The 23,026-nt window shown below is 33.8% G+C and overlaps 1 long non-coding RNA gene and 1 pseudogene across 4 annotated transcripts in view; both read right to left on the bottom strand.

The window, feature by feature from the left end:
• LOC105378798 (uncharacterized) overlaps positions 1–23,026 on the bottom strand; it is a 69,237-nt gene that overhangs the window by 19,119 nt on the left and 27,092 nt on the right. For 2 of the 4 annotated variants that reach the window (NR_188686.1, NR_188684.1), the window contains exon 3: positions 18,988–19,066. The exons of the other annotated variants lie outside the window; for them this stretch is intronic. This is a non-coding gene — a long non-coding RNA (uncharacterized LOC105378798). The remainder of the gene's footprint in view (positions 1–18,987; positions 19,067–23,026) is intronic. 4 annotated transcript variants of the gene reach the window in all.
• RNU6-1246P (RNA, U6 small nuclear 1246, pseudogene) lies at positions 1,094–1,200 on the bottom strand (annotated as a pseudogene).

The raw sequence follows: 23,026 nt of genomic DNA on the forward strand, positions 1-23,026 counted from the left end.
ATTGGTTTAATATCTGTTTTGTCTGACATTAAGATTGCAATCCCTGTGTTTTTCTGTTTCCCATTTGCTTGGTAGATTTTCCTCCATCCTTTTATTTTGAGCCTCTGGGTGTCATTACATGTGAGATGGGTCCCCTGAAGACACAATAACAAAAGTTCTTGATTTTTCATCCCGCTTGCCACGCTATGCCTTTTAAGTTATGCTGGCTTGTTTGCACGGTTGCATTGTAGTGTCACTAGTATGTATAATTAACTGTGCTTTTGTATTAGCTGGTAGTGATCTTTCTATATTTACTTCTTCTTTCAAGATCTCTTGTAAGGCAGGTCTGGTCATAACAAACTCTCTCAACATTTGCTGATCTGAAAAGAATCTTATTTCCCCTTTGCATAGAAATCTTAGTTTGGTTGGATATGAAATTCTTTGTTGAAGATTTTTTTCTTTAAGAATGTTGAATATAGGTCCTCAATCTTTTCTGGCTTCCCGGGTTTCACCTGAGAGGTCCACTATTAGCCTGATGGGCTTCCCCTTGTAGGTGGCCTACCCTTTCTATCTGCCTTTCACTTTCTTTCATTTTGACTTTGGAATTTCTGATGATTATGTGTCTTACAAAGAATCTTCTTGTGTAGAATCTTGTAGGCGTTCTCTGCATTTCTTGAATTTGACTGTTGGCTTCTCTAGCAAGGTTTGATAAATTTTCATGGACAATATCCTATATCCTGGATTTCCTGTATTGATAACTGATATCATACACAAAACATTGAAATATGTTCTCCAAGTTGTTTGCTTTCTTCCCCTCCTTTTCAGCAATGCCAGTGATTCACATAGATTTGGCCTCTTTACATAATCCCATATTTCTCAGAGGTTTTATTCATTCCTTATTATTAGTTTCCTTTATTTTTGTCTGACTGTCTTATTTCAGACTGCCATTATTCATGTTCTGAGATTATTTCCTTTGCTTGGTCTATTCTGCTGTTAATACTTGTGATTACACTGTGAAATTCTTGCATTGTGTTATTCAGCTCTGTCAGATCTATTAGGTTCTTTTTTTTATACCGGCTATTTCATCCTTAAGCTCCTATATCATTTTATTGTGAAAAATTTGAAATGTTTCATGAATTTGTATGCCATCATTTCACAGGGGTCATGCTAATGCTCTCTGTATCAGTGCAGTTTTAGTATATGTGCTGCCCCAGTGGGCAGTAAACAACATACTTCTAAATAACTCCTGAGTCAAATAAGAATTCACAAGAGAAAATAGAAAACATTTCTAAAAACGGTAAAACAAAGTATCAAAATTTGTGTGATGTATCTAAAGCAGGGTTTAAAAAGAAATTCATAATTTCAAATCTATATAATTTAAAAATAAAAAGGTCAAAAATTAGTAATCTACAATTCCATTTGAGAAGCTAAGAAAAAAAGGGGAAATTAAATACAAATTAAGTAGAAGAATGCATACATTAAGGATAAGATCAGAAATCAACAACATAGAAAAAGTAGAGAGAAATAACAAAGCCTACAGTTGATTATGTAAAAAAATTAATAATGCTGACAAATCTTATCATCAGCAAGATTAAGACAAAAAAGACAAAACACAAACTACCAATAACTAGAATAAAAAACAGAATATCACTAAAGTTCCTATGGATATAAAAAATGATAAAGAAATATAAATAACTCAATGCCAATAGGTTTGACAATTATACAAAGGCGATTCTTTGGAAAATACAAATTAGTGAAACTGACAAAAAAAAACTACATGTGTAATCTATTAAAAAGGAATTAAATGTTATTAAAATATTTTCACAGGAAGACTAGAGATCCTGCTGATTTTGAGAAGGCATTCTACTAAGCATTTTAGGATGCAAGAATATCAATTCAATAAAAACTTCCAGATAATGGAGAAGCTAACACTTTTCTTCTGATTTTAAAAAGCTGAGATAATCATGATGCCAAAAGATCTCTCAAATTAAAGACTAATAGCCCAAATGAAAAGATGTATAAATCTTATCACAAAATATTAACGAGTTGTAACCAGCAAAAAATAAATATGTATACATCATGACTCTGTGGGTTGATTCCTACTCAAATCATGAATGCAATTCATCACATTAAAAATAGAAAAAAAAATCAACTTTTCTTGTAAACTTTTCAATTTATGCAAAATAATCATTTAACACAATTCAGTATATAGAATAGGAATACTCAGCAAAATAGACAAAATGGGCATCTCTAATAAGAGGCATCTGAGAAAAACCTTGAGCTAGCACCATACTTAAATGGTCAAACGTTAGACATTTTAAGGAATAAAAAGTTCATCCATGATATTTTTTCTGATTTTTTATATCTTTATGTATAAAATTTCTATAAATAAAATTCACATATTTTAAGTGCAGGATTTAATTATTTCTGGTAAATGAATGGAATAATATGAGAACCATCACAATCAAGTTTTAGTACACCTCCATCACCTCAAAGAAATTTCTCATGCTCCTTTGCATTACATCTGTGCTCCAATCCCCCAACACCCATTGACTGCTAACTTTCTTTTACTGTTTCCCCTTTTTCTAGGATTTCATATAATCATACGGTATGTACTCTTGTGTATGGCTTCATTCACTTGGTGTGCTATTTTTGAGATTCATTCATGGTGGATGCTATTTGTATCAGTAGTTGATTTCTTATTATTGCTGAATAGCATTCCAATGTATAGGTATACTACATTTTCTTTACTCATTAGCCAGATGAAGGATATTTGAATGGTTTACAGTTTATAGCTATGTTAGATAATACTTTTAAGACATTCAAATACACATCTGTGTTTGACATCTGTTTTCATTTTTCTTAGCAGGTAACTAAAATGGGAGGTGCTTGGTCAGTGGTGTACCTTTTTAAGAAGTTATAAATCACTTTTAAAGTGCCTGTACCATTTTGCATTCCCACCAGCCAATATATGAAGATTCTAGTTTCTCTACATATTCATGGTATTATCAGTTTTCTTCATTTTTAGTTATTTTAGGGAATGTGTAATAAAATCTCATTGTGGTTATAGTTGCCATTTTCCTAATGATTGATGATGTAGACCTCTTTTTTATGTGTGTTGGTCATTCATATATCTTCTTTTGGGAAGTGTTTCTTTAAATATTTGACCATTATTTATTGAGCCATTTTTCTTATTGTTAAGTTGTAAGCATTCTTTCTTTATACTGGATGCAATATATTGTTAGATGTATGCTTTGCAAATATTTTAAACCATTCTGTGGCTGCTTTTTCATTATCTTATATCTTTTTGTAAGTGACAGTTATTTCTTCTAAAATCTCATTTTTAAATTGTTTTTATGATTTTTGCATAAAAGAAATATATTAAATTATTTAAAAATGTATGTAAAATAAAAAGGAATTTAAAGAGTTTAAATATACATTTTAGAATAATTGTGTTAATTTCCACAAAACAATGCCAGGAATTTTACTGGTATTGTGTCAAATCTCTACATCACTTTGGGAAATCTGACATTTTATCTATATTGAGTCTTCAAATTCATGATCATGGTGTATTGCTCCATTTATTTAAGTCTTCTGTAATGATCTCAGCTATATTTTATGATTTTTAGTGTGCAAGTCTTGAATATATTTTCTTAAACTTATTATTATTTCCATTTTTTCTGAAGCTATTTTCAATAAAATCAATTTAATTTTCTAATTTAATTTTCAGATTGTTGTTGCTGATAGAAATAACACTGATGTTTATATTGATCTTGTTAAAATCATGTATTAATTTCCATAGCTATATGCATGATTATGTTCTACATCCTCTACTCAAATATGAGTGAATATTTTTTTTATCTGTTCTTATTACACTGTCTAGAATGTCCAATATTGTTAAGTGGAATTGGTGTAAGCAGACAACTTTGCTTTTTCAGAAGGGAAGACAGTAGAGGGCATCAGTCTTACCATTAAGTAAAATGACAGCTTAGGTTTTTAATATGTCCTTTGTCAGGATGAAGAGGGTGATTTCTATTGTTTTTAAGAGTTTCCATGCTAAATACGTGAATTTGTCAAACGTTTTTGTGTCTATTGATATTATCTAATATTTAATTTATTCAGTTTACATAGTGTATTATATTGCTTTTCAGATTTTAAACCAAGCTTGCATATACTTGGTAATACTTTAATTCTTGCTGAGTTAGATTTACTGACATTTTGTTACAGATTTTCACATCTTTGAGAGTCTGTGATATTGTTTCATAGTTATTTTGTTATTTTTTGCTTGTTCTATTGTTGTGTGATGTCTTTTTCTGCCTTTGGTGACAAAGTGGTACTGACCTAACAAAATTAGTCAGAAAGTAATCTTTTCTCCTCTATTTTGTAAAAAAGGGTGTCCAGGTTTGACATTAGTACTTTCATCATAGTTTTATAAAATTCAACAATGAAGTCACCAGGCCTAGACTTTTCTTTCAGGGAAGGTTTTTAATTAGTAATGAAATATTTTACTTGATATACAGACATTTACATTTTTCTGTTGTTTTTTGAATCAGTTTGGTAAAATAATTCAATGCCCACTAAGGTAATTACATGTGTTTTAAACATAAAAGAATTATATATATAATAGATATATGAGTATATATATATATATACACCTATATGTACACCTATATATGTATACCTATACCTATATATATATACATATGTATACCTATACCTATATATATATACATATGTATACCTATATATATATATACCTATATTCATATATGAATATAGGTATATATGAATAATACATGTTTTAAAAATTGTACCCCCATATTTGCCATTTCCAGTACTTTTAGTTTCTTCCTCTATATATGAATTACCATCTAATGTGATCTTTTTCACACTGAAGTTCATTTAGTTTTTTATTAAGTAGAATTATACCACCAATGAATTATATCAGTATTTTTTTTATTTGAAGTGTCTTTATTCCATTACTACTTGTAAAAAAAGAGTTCTGCTAAATATGGGATTTTTTACTGACAGCTTTTATGTTTTTGTTTGTTTCCTCACTTTTTAGCAACCTGAATAAGTCATTGCAAGGTTTTCTGGCTTCTGTCATTTCTGATAAGAAGTTAACTGTTAATCATATCATTGTTTCCTGCAACTGAGGTTTAATTTTTCTTTTCCTTTGACCAAGCTTTTCATTTTTATGTTAGTATGTCTAGCTCTGTGGTTTTTTTTCTTCTTCTTGTTTTTGGTGTGTTTATCATATTTCAGGTTGGATAAGTTTCTTGGGATCAGTATGGTTTTCGGTTTGTATTTTTAATTAAACTTCTTTTCAAATGATTTTCTGCCTTCTGCCTGCCCCATCTTTTTCTGGAAAGCTATAAAATGTGTGCTAAAATATCTGATATTTTCCCACACATCTATGACTTAATTTTAAGTCAATTCTTTTTCTTTTTATAATTTGAAATGAATATCTACTGATCTATTTTAATCAATTACTCATTTATTTTGCCTTATCAATTCTGCTTTTGAGTCATTTAGTGAAATTTTCATTTCAATTATTGTATATTTTTATCTCAGAATTTAAAAAAATGTTGATACACAATGAGTATATGTATTTATGAGTTACATGTGTTATATTGATGCATGTATAAAATATGTAATGATCAAATCAGGGTAATTGAGATATTCACTGCCTCCAACATTTGTTATTTCTTTGTGATGTGAACACTTCAATTCTTCTAGCTATTTTGAAATATACAATAAATTATTGTTAGCTATAGTCATCCTACTGTGCTACTGAACACTAAAATTTATTACCTCTATCTAATTCTGTTTTTTACTCATTAACCAACCTCTTTTCATCCCTCTCCTCCCTAAAACTTTCCCAGCCTCTGGTAATCATCATTATATTCTCTACTTCCATGAAATCAACTCTTTAGCTCCTACATATCAATGATAACATGTGAAATTTGTCATTTTATGCCTGGCTTATTTCACTTAACATGATGACTCCCAGTTCCATCCATGTTGCTGCAAATGACAGAATTTCATTCTTTTTTGTGGTTGAATTATATTCCATGTATAATATATTCACTTTATTCATTTTTCTGTTAATGGGCACTTATGTTAATTTCATGTCTTTGTTATTGTGAAAAGTGTTACTATAAACATCAAAATGCAGATATCTGTTTAACATACTGATTTTTTATTTGTGTGTGTATATATATATATATACACTTGAGATATAAATATTTGTGTGTGTATATATATACACACACACAATTGTATATATACACACACATTTGTGTATATATACACACGCATTTGAGATATATACATATATATGGCAGCGTGAGTTCTGGTTCAACATGGCAGGTATATTTTTAATTTTTTAATGAAAACTCCACACTTCTTTCTATAGTGGCTGTATTAATTTTCATTTCCACCAACTGTGTATCTGAGTTCTCCTTTCTCCATAAACTCATAAGCATCTGGTTTTTTTTGTCTTTTTGATAATAGTCATTTTACTATCTCATTTGATATCTTTACTATCCTTTGATATCTCATTGTGATTTTGATTTGTTGATTTTATAGTTTTGTAGTATAGATTTGCATTTTGCTGATGGTTAATTATGTTAAGAATTCTTTCAAGTGCCTGTTAGCCATTTGCATGTCTTCTTTTGATAAATATCTATTCAGATACTCTGTCCATTTTTTAAAACAGATTATGTGGGGTTTTTTTCTGTTGAGTTGTTTGATTTTTTAAAATACATTTTGGTCATTAATCTATTGTCAAATAAATCTTTTCTTTCATTCTGTAGGCTGTATCTTTATTCCATTCACTGTTTCTTTGTTATTCAGAATATTTTTGGCATGATGAAATTCAGAAGTTTCTGATGAAGTTCAGAAATATTTTGGCATGATGAAATTCTATTTGTCTGTTGTTTGATTTTTGTTGCCTTACTCAAAATATCCTTGTGTAAATCAATGTCCTGAACCATTTCCAATTTTCTTATACTACTTCCAATATTTCCATTATTCCATTCCATTTCCAATATTTCTTCTACATTTCCAATGTTTTATTCTACTATTTTCATAATTCCAGGTCTTACATTTAAGGCTTACATAAGTTTTGATGTGATTTTTGTATGTGGTAAGAGATAAGAGTCGTTTCATTCTTCTACATGTGGTTATCCAGCTTTTTTAGCGCCATTTATTGAAGAGGCTATTCTTTCCCCAGTGTATGTTCTTGGCGCTGTTGTCAAATATTAGTTGGTTGTAAGTGTGTGAATTTATTTCTGTGTTCTCTGTTCAGTTCAATTGGGTTATGTGTCTGCTTTTTTGCAAGTATCATGCTGCTTTGGTTACTATAGTTTGTAGTATACCTTGAAATCAGATAATGTGATGCCTCTAGTTTTGTTATTTTTGCTGAAAATTCCTAGGCTATTCAGGGTACTCTGTGACTTCATATAAATTTTAGTATTGCTTTTCTATTTCTGTGAAGCTTGTCACTGGCATTTTCATAGGTATTGCATTCGATCTGTAGCCCACTTTGGGTAGTATGAAACTTATTAACAATATTAATTCTTCCAAACCATGAACATGGGATAGCTCTCCTTTTTTTGTGTTCTTTTCATTTTTTATCAGTATTTAATAGTTTTATTGTATAGATTTTCACTTCTTTTATTACATTTATTCCTAGGTAGTTTTTTTAGTTATCTTTGCAGGTATTTGTAAATTGAATTTCTTTCTTGAATTTTTTTCAGATTAATTGCTGTTGGTGTATACAAATGTTACTGATTTTGTAAGTTGATTTTATAATCGGAAAGTTTACTTTTTAAAAATTATTATTATTATTACTATCATTATTATTATTCTGAGACAGAGTCTAGTTCTGTCACCCAGGCTGGAGTGCAATGGTGCGATCTGCGCTCCGTGATCTCCGACTCCCGGGTTCAAGCGAATCTCCTGCCTCAGCCTCCTGAGTAGCTGGGACTACAGGCGTGCACCACCACGCCCGGCTAATTTTTGTATTTTTAGTAGAGACACGGTTTCACCCCATTTGGTTAGGCTGCTCTGGAACTCCTGACCTCATGATCCGCCCGCCTCGGCCTCCCAGAGTGCTGGGACTACAGGCGTGAGCCATCTCTCCCGGCCTAAAAAATTATTTCTACCAGACTTTGGTGGAATCTTTAGGTTTTTCTAAATATAAGATTAAGTCATAAATATCCCAATGAGTCTAAAAGAATGGATGAATTCTAGCAAGGAGAACTGGCAAGGAGCTACCTGCTCTCTCTACAGGCCTCTGGAATTCAGGAAGGAGGAGACCCCTTTGCCACCAGGGACATAGAGTTGGAAGGGAATATTACTTAGAGGAATGGAAGGGGCAGCAAGGCAGCTGATGTGGAGCCCAGCGGGTTTGGAGCCAGAGCCTCTGTAGTGGACCACAGCCAGGGATGGTGATTCCCCTGGGCTCCCCTGGCTTCCCTTAAGAAACTTTAGCTCTAGAGGAGCTATTGCAACTGAACTCTGGAGGGCAGTCTTGCCCATCAGATGGGGCCAGTCTGACCTGAGGACCCCTTGGTCTGCTGGCCTCTCCGGTGGCCCCAGCCTGGTTACCTGCTTGCAGAGCAGCCTCGGGTGCCCTGGGGGCCTGCATCATAGCTTCTGTGCCAGGGGACCATGCCTGACCAGCAGAGAGCTTCAGCAAGCGGCCCTCACAGCCATGCACCAGCCCACCCACTCCCTCCCTACACAGCAGCTTCCCCCAGCCCACGGCAGCTATCATATAGCTTTGCCGGGGCATGTGCACAGGAGTGGGTTTTGCTTTCTTTGCCCTGCCAGCGCACGTGTGTGAGCACTCTGCCTTGCCACTGCTGCAGTGGGAGTGTAGTCCACTTACCCGCCCCAGCACCACACCATCACACTCAGAGCTTTGGCAGGCACAGAGCCAGCCAGCCCTGTTCCGTTCCTGCCAGTGCCCCTCCCAGCCATGGGAGTGAAACTATGCACAGAGAACAGCGGACCTTCCCCTGCCTTGAGTAACCACCCCTGCCTGTGGCACACAGAAAAAGCACACAGGCCTGCACCCTTCAGTGGCCCGCCTGGTGCCAAAACCATCACCAGCATGACCATGCACGCAGTTCCCAGGAGGGGCCCCCACCCGCCATCTCCCCTAAAGCCACATTGCTTCTGCTGTGGTGAATGCCTCTGTGGAGACAGGGCCCCCCAGCCCCCGCTAGCACCCTGCCACAGCCAAGGAGCACGCACCCTGCCATGCGCAAAGGCTGCTGCTGGCACATGCAAATGAGGAGGAGTCCCGCTGTCACCACACTATAAATGCTTTGGCTGAGACCATCCATTGGAGTGTAGTGACCAGTAGTTCAGGAGCACATCAGCGCCCCTAGTACCGTGGATTCCTAACCTTGAGAAGCCAGAGAACAAAGTCGAGGCACAATACAAGTCCCAGAGTTAGACCACGCAGTTCCAGAAACAAAGCCATTTGACTAAATCCACCTTATACCACAATCAAACCTGTGAGGTCATCAAATAGGAGATATATATATATATATATATATATATATATAGCAAAGGTCAGCAACTGTAAAGATGGAAGGAACACAAGCCCACTAAGATGAGAAAGAATGACCACAAGAACCCTGACAACTCAAAAAGCCAGAATGCCTTCCTTCCTGCAAAAAACTGCATCACCTCTCCAGCAAGGGCTCTGAACCAGGCTGAGATGGCTGAAATGACAGAATTAGAATTCAGAATATGGTTAGGAACAAAGATCATTGAGATGCAGGAGTATGTTGAAAGCCAATCCAAGGACGCTAAAAATCACAATAAAACAATGCAGGAGCTGACAGACAAAATAGCCAGCATAGAAAATAATGCAACCAACCTGATAGAACTGAAGAACAAACTACAAGAGTTTCATAATACAATCACAATTATTAACAGCAGAATACACCACATGAAGGAAAGAATCTCAGAGCTTGAAGACTGGCTTACTGCAATAAGACATCAGACAAGCATACAGAAAAAAGTAATGAAAATGAGTGAACAAAACCTCTGATAAATATGGGATTACGTAGAGAACAAATCTATGACTCACTGATGTACCTGAAAGAGATAGGGAGATTGTAAGCAACTTGGAAAACATATTTTAGAATATCATTCATGAGAACGTCCCCAAACTAGCTAGAGAGGCCAACATTCAAATTCAGGAAATTCAGAGAACACCAGTAAGACAGTTCATAAGAAGATCAATCCCAAGACACATACATCAGATTCTTCAATGTCGCAATGAAAGAAAAAATGTTAAAGGCAGCTAGAAAGAAAGGTCAGGTCACCTACAAAGGGAAGCCCACCTGACTAACAGCAAGTCCCTCAGCAGAAACCCTACAAGCCAGAAAAGATTGGGGCCAATATTCAACATTCTTATTAAAAAGAAATTCCAACCCAAAATTTCATGTCTGGACGAACTAAGCTGCATAAATGAAGGAGAAATAAGATATATTTTAGGTAAGCAAATACTGAGGGAATTCATTACCCCCAGATATGTCTTACAAGAGCTCCTGAGACTTAATTCTAAGACCTCAAAGTATGAAACTACCACCAGAAAACATTGGGAAAATATTCATGATATTGGTCTGGGCAAAAGGGGTTTTTGGGGTAATACTGCACAAGCACAGGCAACAAAAGCAAACATGGACAAATGGGATCACATCTAGTTAAGACACTTTTGCACAACAGAGGATACAATCAACAAAGTGGAGAGACAACCCACAAAATGGGAGAAAATATTTGCAAACTACAACTACCCTCTGACAACGGGTTAATAACAAGAAGATGTATAAGAAGCTCAAACAACTCTATTGGAAAAAAAAATCTAATAATCTGATAAAAACATTGTCAAAAGGTTTACATAGATATTTCTCAAAAGAAGACATACAAAAGCCAAACAGGCATATGAAAAGGTGCTCAACATCATGGATAATGAGAGAAATGCAAATCAAAACTACAGTGAGTTATCCTCTCACCCTAGTTAAAATGATTTTATCCAAAAGACGGGCATTAACAAATGCTGGTGAGGATGTGGGGAAAAGAGAATTCTTCTACACTGTTAATGGGAATATAAACTAGTACAACTAGTTCTCCATAGTGATGGAGAACAGTTCAGAGGTTCCTCAAAAAATTAAAACTTAAACTATCATATGATCTACCAATCCCACTACTGGGTATATATCCCAAATAATTTTAAAAAATCAGTTTATCAAAGAGATGGATACACTCCTATGTATGTTGCAGCACTGTTAACAATAGAGAAGATTTAGAAACAACCTAAGTGTCCATTGACAGATGAATGACCAAAGGAAATGTGGTTCATATACACAATGGAGTACTATTCAGCGATAAAAAAAAAATGAGATCCAGTCATTAGCAACAACGTGGATGGAACTGGAGATCATTATGTTAAGTGAAATAAACCAAACACAAAAAGACAAACATTGAATGATCTCATATATTTGTGGGATCTAAAAATAAAATCAATTAAACTTATGATCATAGAGAGTAGAAGGATGGTTATAAGAGGCTGGGAAGGGTAATGGTTTGTTGGGAGGGACAAAGGGATAGTTAACGGGTGCAAAAAAATAGAAAGAATGAATAAGACCTACTATTTGATAGCACAATAGGGTGATTATACTCAGGAATAACATAATTGTATATTAATCCCAGCAATTTGGGAGGCTGAGGCGGGTGGATCACCTGAGGTCATGAGTTCGAAACCAGGCTGGCCAACATGGTGAAACCCTGTCTCTACTAAAAATACAAAAATTAGCCAGGCATGGTGGCAGGCACCTGTAATCTCAGCTGCTCAGGAGGCTGAGGCACGAGAATCACTTGAACCCAGGAGACAGAAGTTGCAGTGAGCTGAGATTGTACCACTGAACTCCAGCCTGGGTGGCACAGCGAGACTCCATCTCAAAAAAAAAAAAAAAAAAAGTAGAAATATCTCAATTTAAAAACCTAACATCACAAATAAAAGAACACATACCTAGCAGAAGACAAGAAATAATCAAAATCAGAGCTGAACTGAAGGAGACTGGAAAACAAAATACCATTCAAAAGATCAATGGATCCAGGAGTTCGTTTTTTGAAAAGATTAATGAAATAGACTGTTAACTAGACTAATAAAGAATAAAAGAAAATAAACACAATTAGAAACAGCAAAGGATACTACCACTGACCTCACAGAAATATAAATAACTATCAGGGAATATTATGAACACTTCTATGCACGTAAACTGGAAATTCTAGAAAAATGAATAAATTTCTGGACACAAACCCCCTCTCAAGACTGAGCCAGGAAGAAATGGATTCCTTAAACAAACCAATAACAAGCTTCAAAATGGAATCAGTTATAAATGGCCAACCAACCAAAAAAGCTGAGAACAATCTCCATCTATATCCATGTTGCTGCAAGGGACATGATTTTTGTTTCTTATTGTTGTTGTTTGTTTGTTTGTTTTAGTGGCTGCCTAGTATTTTATGGTGTATATGTAACTCATTTTCCTTATCCAGTCCACTGTTGATGGGCATCTTGGTTTATCTCACTTCTTTGCTATTGTGAAGAGCACTGCAATGAACACATATGCCGTGTGTGTGTGTCTCTTTGATATAATGAATTATTTTGGGGGGTTATATACCCAGTAGTGACATTTTTTGATCAAATATTAGTTCTGTTTTAAATTATTTGAGAAATCGCCAAACCGTTTTCCACGATGGCTGAAGTAGTTTGTGATTTCACCTTTCTTGATTTAAAGTCTATTTTAGCTGATATAAGTAGAGCCACTCCTGCTCTTTTTCCCTTTCCATTTGCATTGAATAGCTTTTGCCATCCCTACATTTTTTTGGCTTTGCATGTCTTTATAGATGGAGTGATATTCTTGAAGACAGCAACCTGTTGGGTCTTATTTTTTTAATCCTTTCAGCCACTCTATAACTTTTAATTGGTTAATATCATCCACTTCTATTCAAGGTTCTTATTGATAGATAAGAGTTTACTATTGCCATCTTGTAATTTGTTTTCTGTGGGAATTTTTTGGTAGATTCTTAATTCATTTTTTTCTCTATTATTATCCTCCTTTGTGGTTAAGGTTAAGTGATTTTCTCTAGCAATATGTTTGATTCCATGCTATTTATGTTTACTTTATCTATTACAGATTTTTTTTGTGGTTACCATGTGGCTTACAAAGAATATCTTATAACAGGTTATTTGAAACTATCAACAACTTTGATCTCAAAGAAAAGTATCAAAAGCAAATCCTACACTTTTAATACTACAGCCCTATATTTTGACTTTTGATGCTTCATTTTACTTTTTTTATGTTGCCTACCTCTTAACAAATTATTGTAGTTATGTTGTTTTCAATGGTTTTGCTTTTGGTCTTTACAGTCTAATATGTGTTTTACTTACCAAAATTACAGTATTAGAATATTATGAATATCTCTGCTTTCTTATTTTACTAGTGAGTTTTATACCTTCAGATTTTTTGTGTGTTACCTGGTAGCATCCTTTTTTTTTTAGATTGAAGAAGTCCCTTTAAATTTATTGTATGATATATCTTGTTTGATCAATTCCTTCAGCTTTTGTTTATCTGGAAAAGTATCTGTCCTTCACATTTAAATAACAGCTTTGCTGGGCTACAGTATTCTTGGTAAGCAGGTTTTATTTTCCTTCAGTAGTTTGAATACAGCATCTTACTCTCCTCTGGTCTGCAAGTCTTCTGCTAAGTAATCTGTTGAAAGGCATATAATGACTCCACTTCTTGTGTTATGTTTCTTTTCTCCTGCTGCACTGAATTTTTTATTTTTTAGTGTTTGGATTTGCTAATTTGATTATGATATAACTTGGGTAATTCTTCTTTGTGTTGAAAGTAATTGGTGATTTCTGAGATCCTTATACGTGGATGATCTTGTCTTCCTCTTCTTTTTCTAGATTAAAATATGTTCGTTATTTCCTTAAATATGCTTTTTAAGATTTTTCTATTTTAATCTTCTTAAGGAATTCCAATTACATGGAAATTAGTTTACTTGATGGTGTCCCATAAATTTTGTATGCCTTTGTCATTGTTTTTAATTCTTTTTTTCTCCTCTGATTAGATAATTTTACATGTTTTGTCTATAAGCTTGCTAATTAATTCCTGTTTGATCAAGTCTCCTGTTGAAGCTTTCTAATGAGGCTTTTATTTAAGCTGTTGTATTACTTATTTCTAAGATTTTCTTTGGGATTTGTTTTTAATTTATTTCTCTGTTGAATTTCTCATTTTCATCCTGAATTGACTTTCAAATTTTATTTACTTTTTCATCCATTTTTAAAAATGATTCTCTGATCTTCCTTCAGAGGATGATTCTGATTTCACTGTTAGAAATTTCACAGATCTTCAGTTCTTCTGAGTTCATTACTGGAGCTCTTGGTGGTGTTTGTTGTTTCCTTTGGTGGTGTCATATTTCCCTGACTTTTCACAATTCTTACATTTTTACATTGATGACAGCCCATTTGTGGAGACAGCCAACTCTTTCAGTTTTTGCAAGTGTTCTTTGGTGATGTTAGACGTTTACTTTCCAGTATCAGAGCATAAATAGTGGCCTTTACTGTTTTCCATTCTGGAAAAAACTTACAGTGATCACCAGAACTAAATCACTGCACTGGAGCTAAATCATTGTCTTGTCATCATATCTTTGTCCAGGGAAGACTTAAAGTGAGCACCAGAGCTTAATTACTGTCCTGAACTATATTGCTTCCCCGCTATTTTTCCCAGTCTGGAGAAGCGTTAAGCAGGCACTGGAACTTAATTCCACAATTTTGTTTCCAAACCAAGGGAAGGCTCCACCAGAGCTTCTGAGATTTGTGAAAAATCTAGCTAGGAGTTTGGGCCTCCATTTAAATTGTGCCCCTGAAGTGCCTTGATATCAGCTAGTATTTTCAACATGGTTTCCCTGCTGATTGAAGTGTTGAGTAACCACCAAGATCTGCATACCAGTCACTGTGATCAGCATCCTTCTCTTTGTCCCCAATTCATCCCAGGTAGTCTAGACCTCCTTGCATTCCCAGTGGCTCCTGTGGGATGGTATGAGAGTGACCTTCCCATGAAGATTCCTAAACAAGCAGGGAGATGGAACATCTACTCTAATTTCCTCCTCTCACCTTGGCAACCATAAGTCTAAGAAAATTATCTGTGAATGGCATTATGCCAGGTTACAGGAGGGGTTGGCACAGACTGAAATGATTTTTTTTTTTTACTGGTTGTAACTTCTCTCAATTAGGCATCTCTTTAAAGTTCTGGTGTATTTAGGCTGGTATTCTTGTTTTTGAATCGTTTCTAGTTGTATTTTTTTGAAGTTAGTAATGCTGGGTGACTCCTCTATTTGGCCATCTTGCTGACATCACTTTTATATCCACAACTTCTGTTTGTCTTTTTATATTGAGATTCCTAACGTGATTATTTTTTGTATATTTACCGTTAGTTCTTTGAAGTGTTAATAAAAGCTGCTTCAAAGTATTTTTCTGCTAACTCTGAGTTGGAATCAATTTTGATTGACTTTTTAAAACCCTTGCATATGTATCAATTTTTTTATTGTCTAGTAATTTCTTGGTAAAATTACTAGTCATAAAACTACTAGTCATTAAATTTGAGCATTGTAGATAATACATTGTAGCAACTCTTGATTTTGTTTTGTTCTTCAGAAGTTTGTTTATTTTTTGCTTTAGAAGGGAATCAGCTTGTCTCAACTCAAACTGTGAACAGTATCTCCATCATGGGATGCATAGTTTAGTGTGGTTCTCTGGAAATATCTCTTGTTCTCAGTTTATCAGTAAGTCAATGCTTTGTTTGAGTGGAGATTATAGTTAGATATTAGAATCCAGTAAAGCTTATTCTTTACTGCATGACTTGTGTTTAGGTTGAGGGAAACTTTTAAAGTTGTTAAAAATTCAAAAATATCGCTAGTGTTTTAATTTTTTCAGGCTCTCTAGGATCTTCTGGTGGCATATATATTTTAGCAGAGAGAAATGTGTGGGGAGTTTCTTAACTCAGCCTATCTGTGCCTTTTTTCTTCCAAAATTGTCCCTTTAAATTTCTAGCTGTTCTTCTCCTCTCTGAACTAAGTCCCCTACCTCTACCACTAAAACTGTAGGTTTTTGTCACCTATTTTCTAAGGGGTAAGAGTATCCTTGGGCAAGAAGATCACAAACTCACTCTCTGATCTGATGCGGCAATGTTCTATGAATAAACAGTTATAAAATTGTTGCCTGCTCGGGTTGATTTTCTAGTGGCCTAAAATTCATGTTTTTATTTTAACAATTTTATCCCATCTTACATAAGTTTTATGCTGAGATTAATGCCAACATCTTTTCATGTGGCCATAACCAATGTAATATTTTAATTAAACTACCTCTAAATCTCTGCACTTGCCTTTCTCTAATCTTTAGCAGAAAACTTCAGTTTTGCTTTTTAAAAAATATTTTTTCTCTACAAAATATTTTTTAAAAAGCAAAACCATATATGCTTTATATTATCTATCCTTTAAAATAAAGCATATTTATATGTGCTTTATATCTTTAAGATTTGATATAAATGTTGCTTCTTCTGGGAAGCCTTACTGTATTTCCTTAGAAATATTTACTTGGCTCTTCATCTGCATTTTCATAGAAATCCATTTTTGTCTGTTTTAGCAGATTTCATTCCTCATTATAATTACTATTATGGTTACCTATTGTCTGCATTTAACCACTAATAATGTAGATAATTCAATGTAGAGGGACATGTGACTTGTACATCATATGCATTTAATATATGATTGCAGAATTTATGGTTACATACAACTAATTCCTGGCATCTTACAAAGGACATTTCAGTAGCCATCTTTTTTTAAAACTAATAACTATATGGTTTTGAGTAAATTATTGAAATGCTTTTTCTGGATAATCTTTCCCTCTGCCTTTTGGATCCATGTATACTCATGTTTACTTCCCATTTCTCTCTATTATTAATTGTATAACTTCATGCATGTTACTTATTTTTTGTACTTTACTTTCTTCACCCAAAATGGAAAATTGATACCTCACAGAATTTTTGTAAGAATCATGGAAATATCATATACAGTGTTCACTATATATGCCAGGGACATGATTGGTGCTGTTTAATTTGAACTGTTTTCTGCAATTCAGTGCTGACCATGTTTCTATGTCCCAGGCATAGAAAAAGAGAAACGTTAAACTCTCAGCAATGTCATGTTGATGTATGGGAAACACAAGGATCCCGAATTACCTGCCAGGTATCTACTATTGCAGAAGTTCTTTAAAGTATATGTATAGTGAACTCATTGCAGAAAAAATACAGACTCTATAGCACACTTCTTGTCCTTATACTAGTTATCGAAGATTGAACATATGTGTTTACGGTTTGTCAGTGACATGCTTAATTACATTATTAACAGACACAATGTCATTGGTAATTTTCTCCAAGATTCCTCAAAGCTCCAAAGCATTTGAAAGAGATTTTAGTATTTCTGTTCCTACTCTGGAAAAATAACCTATAATTTAACATTGTAAACCAATTGTGCATCTCAAAGATCACTATTATTGCCTTATTTTCTGATAGTTTTCTCCTCCCATGAGCTTGTGTGGGAGGGAAAAGAAGTAGTGGACCTGAAATTCCACCAAATGTGACAGTATGTGGCCAGTAATGTGCCAGTATGTGGCCAGTAATGTGCCATCATATTTGCTTTAACCCTCACAATAAATCTGAAAGACAAATATTATTGACCATTTTATAGCAGGGAAAGTGGTACAGAGAAGTTAGTCCTGTTGCTTAAAGTCACGCAGCTTTGAAGAGCAGAATTAGGGTTCAGAGTCAAGCCTTTTAAATCTGAAGTTTATGACTCTTTCTTCTAAAACACCACTTATATGAAGGACTTTGAACAAATGATACCATATTGTAGTAGACCCAGCAATAACACTGTTTCATGCTGTGCCAAATGACTATCTTTGCAATATATAAAACAACATGACATAACTGTGACATAGTCATTTAAAAATATTTGTAAAACCACCACAAAAATGCCTTTTATAATTTCAATTGTGAATAATGCCAAGAATGTTAACTCTTGAAATGTTAACTTGTGTATATACTCATGCTGTGTGCATATTAATATAAGCTTATTTTATATACATAGATCTAATACTTTTCAAATGCCATTGTTTTCACTAGATTGAACTGTCATCTGCTTTAATAACATGAAATTCTTATTTCATATCAGTATCACAAACAGCTACACTATGTTTTTTTTGACAAGCTGTATTTTTACTTTATGCTTTATTCTTGAAGCTTCAAAAATTGATACCAGTTCTTTTCAAGACAATGTGTTCAACACAATGAGGTAAAAATACTTTTTCTTCTTATATTATCGAGTCAAATTCTAGGTGATAGAGTTCAAATATAAACTTTGTCTCCACGCATAACTCAGAAGCTTGTGGAATGCCTTGATAGTTTGGCAAACATGTTAGATTTCAGTTGTAAACAGTGATACTATGTATTCACAAATGCATTCATATTTTAAATGTGTATTTTCTTGTTTGTGTTTCTGGTTTTTAAATATTGTGATTCCTGATTAAAGTATCTGCTAAAAACTTAATTTTTTTAAGTGTATGATAATGTTTTTAACTCTATGTCTTTTCACATAAAAAAGGCATAGAAATTTTTCACAGAGTGAAAAGATAGAGAGTTCAAACACATCATCTATGCCTCTAGAACTTAAGTAGAGGCTACATTAATTAAAAATGGATACTTACAGAAATGTACATTTTTTCATTAATATCTCTAAATACATAAAAATGTGAGATCATCTATATATTTGCATGTCCATACATATGTATATATATATATATGTGTGTATATATATATAATATAATACCTTATATATATAATAGCTATGAATACTCACATTTATCAAGCAATTACTACGTGACAGATACAAATCCAGATTTTGTGTGGTGAGAAGTTTAAATAACTTAGAAAAACTTCTGTAGGTAAAAATAAAATACAAAATGAGAAATACAAAATTAAGTATGAATATGAATATTTACTTGGAATAAGAATATAAATCATTTCCAGTTACATAATTTCAAAAATCTAACAAATCTAAAACATGGACGATTCCAGAAAAGTAATACATTTTATTACAATAGCTCTAAAATCTACTTTTTTTGGTTTTATGTTCTTTGATTATTTCTTCATATGACAATTATTTTGTCATTTTTTTTCTCAAAGGGAGAAGAGAAAGGTAATTCCATCTTTCCATTAGGATGACTGGTTTTATTTAATGATAGTTTAGAAAAGATTCTCTCAGCCTAATAATTCATCTTTGGTAATGCCATGTAAATTTTTGGATTGTTGTCAACTTTGGAAAAACTTTCACAAAATTTCTTTCATATATTATTGTAAGATTTCAGAGTAGTTTAGGTATTTTTGTGCAGTTACTCATCTTCAATATTCTTTGAATCAACAATACCTATTAAATAATTTGTCATTTCTATTTCCTTACTGCAGTGGCTTATATCAGTATTTTGTGTTGAATTCATAAAAAAAAAACAACTTTTCTGCTATGAAAAAAATCTTCATTAATTAATTGGACTCTTAAATTAGTCAAGCCTATATATTATTTGTAGTAAAATCTTTTGCTTAATGAATTGCTGACTTTGGAATGACCTGAAAATTATTTTAATTCACTTCTTATTGCTACAGTAATTTCTACTGAATTTATATAACAACACATGCAAACATTGTTTTATTTTATATTTCACTTATAATTGTATATCTTGCTTTATCAAATATTTCTGACAGAAGAAAAAAATCTATTTTCACTTGGTGTTTAGGAAAAGTAAATTTTTTGCTTAACATTTTACATGTTATTAAAAGAATTGCTTACTGGTTTGCTTTTGGTTTCCTAACTTTGTTTTTTCTTCACTATACACATACTTCTGTTGCCATGGGCCAGAGGACACTTTCTCATATTATGAGTCAACCTCTGGCCCCTCTTCTAGAGGTCAAAATTCTGGGTTAGTTTGCAGAGTGAGCAGTAGCAAGAATTTTTCTGGAAGCTTACATGGCTTACATATCTACCATGAATTCCTTGACTAACTATATCTAACCATAAAGAAAATGACTTCTAATCACAAGAGTATATCCCATGAAATCCAGACAAATTATTGTTCTAACCCAAATTCCCTTAGCAAAATTTCCCATATAGTAGATATCACTCCAATGGTATCATAGAAAAGGGAAAGTATAATGAATGAGAAGAATACGTGAAAAAGTGATAGGTCTTCCTTAACTCTAAATAACCCACTTACTTATTTTCAGATTTTGCAAAAATCCTAACACTTTGCCAGAACCTCTCTAGGGCACTTGAAATATATATTATTTTCATGATAAAGTTACCCTATTTATAGTTCACATAGAGTATTTTCATACATTCCACATAGAATATATTCTACATATTCCACACAGAGTATTTTGTCTAATCCTCATACACATTTTTTGAGGATAAACTGCTTTAGTGTTATAAACAAGCATATTGAGAAAGAGAGAGAGAAACTGCGTGACTTTCAAAATTATAGCTAGAACCCTGGCAATTTGATTCTGAAATCTATTGTCTTATCTCTGCCAGGCATTTTTAATTGCATGGGGAAAATTGACTTCAGAGCATGTCAGTGGTTATGATTTGTTTCGCATCTGATCAAGTTAACCATTGATTATGTTAAGCTTCATTTAGATTTAGATTCTCTTCACTCACACAGAACTGAAGTGTGTAACAGCCTCAACTTGCCTTAACTTAGGCAATCCTTTTATCCATAACAAGCATGAAGACTAGAAAAAATGCAGATACAAAGCTAATGGAAAGAAGAGCAGATTCAATGTTATGATGCATTTTGCTATATACCAATGAAAATAAATAAATTATAGCTGCATTCCTCTACATAGATAAACATAATGAAGAAGATGTTTACCATTAAGAGGAAGTTGTTGAAGTTTGTAAAAAGTATGATTCCATTTATATAGAGTTCAAAATATAGGCTGTGTGTGTGTGTGTGTGTGTGTGTGTGTGTGTGTTTGTGAATAGACCATGGAAATGAAAATGAGAATCACAAAATTCAGGATAGTGGTTGTAGAGTTGGTGGGGAAAGGAGAATAGAATCATAGAAATGAACAAAGGAAACTTCAAAAGTATTTGTGCTGTTCATTTTATTGTTATTTCATAAGGCTTAGAGACATGTTTTAAATATCTTAGATGTTAAATATTTAATTGAAACAATCAACACATTTCAATGGGATTTGAAATAATTAGGTGGGTAGTGGGACAGTTTTGGGCTGAGAAAGACCAAGCCAAAGAAATGTAGGCAGAAGTAGCATAATTGGGTGAAACTGGGAGCTTGACAAAAAGTTTTCAGGCTTGGAGATTCTTATTCTGAGGATATCTTCATGAAAAAGCACATCTAAATGTAGGTCAGAATTTGAGAGAATGGACTCATTGAAATGCCCAAGTGAGGCAGAAACATCAATGTCCATTGTTCAAGTTGAGTCATATATCCCCAATAAAAATATATTAGTTTGTTTTCAAGCTGCTGATACAGATATACCCAAAACTGGGAACAAAAAGAGGTTTAATTGGACTTACAGTTCCACATGGCTGGGGAGCCCTCAGAATCATGGCAGGAGGTGAAACGCACTTCTTACATGGTGGTGGCAAGAGAAAAAGATGAGGAAGAAGCAAAAGCGGAAACCCCTGATAAACCCATCAGATCTTGTGAAACCCATTCACTCTCAAGAGAACAGCACCTGAAAAAATGGCCCCCATGATTCAACTACCTCCCCATGAGTCCCTCCCACAACACATGGGAATCCTGGGAGACACTATTAAAGCTGAGATTTGGGTGGGGACACAGCTAAACCATATCAGATAATAAAATAAGAATAGCTCTACAATTAGCACTGTGCTAGTGGCAAGTAATTGGGGGCAATTTAGGGAACTAATGAGCAGACATTGCATTATGTGGCAGCATTTCATTTGCTATCAGAAGATATATCTAAAATGTTTACTATATATCCAAAATAATGCCAGGTCCTGTACTAAGATATTGAGGAAATGGCCACATAGATCCTGTGATTTTTCAGGGGCATAAATTGTGTTGCCTTTCAGAAAACATGCTCCTTAGGAGATGAAAAGTAAGACAATAGCCTAGTTACTGAATTACTGGCACAAATAACAATATCTGGTTTGACAAATTTGTGTTAGGAGCTAGAGATCCTAATTACAAGGGGAGTTATTGTTACAAACGCAAAAATTTAGGACCTAGAATTTAAGCTAGAATTCTAGTCATTGGTGAACTGGTGTAAGAAGATTAGAGAAGGAACAACAGCAATATGATAAGTGAAGAAGGAAAGCTTCAATACTGAGCTTGTAAACAAAAGGCTAGGATTATTTTGTTTAGGATTAAAACAAAGTAGAACAGGTTGTCATGAAAGACAGGGAGGACTTAAGTTCTTTTCATTGCTGAGATTAGTTACATATACGTATGCACTTAGGGGTGTGTGTGTGTGTGTGTGTGTATTAATTAGTGTAGGGATGGGGGATTAAAATAATGTTGCAACAATGCATTGAAACTAAGTTGGTTTAAAGAAATGTAAAACTTTGAATTATTCATAAAACAATGAAATAATGCCCACAGTGTCAGTAGACACACACACCTCTTCCAGCCCATAGATTTTTTTTCCTTGTAACTGCTAAAATAGGCACGCTTTTTGTTTATGTTTGGTGATACATGTTCACCTTTTTACATAGTCCATGAAGCAATTATAACAATGTATCATAGTTTCCAGTACATAGTATGCTAATATTTCATTTGCACTTTTTTTTTCCACTCTTCACCTCTCTCTACCTTGCTCTGTGGCCAGGGAGGCTGATATGAACGGACTGCATCAGT

This window comes from Homo sapiens, chromosome 1, assembly GCF_000001405.40.
Source record: "Homo sapiens chromosome 1, GRCh38.p14 Primary Assembly".
NCBI classification, from domain to species: Eukaryota; Metazoa; Chordata; class Mammalia; order Primates; family Hominidae; genus Homo; species Homo sapiens.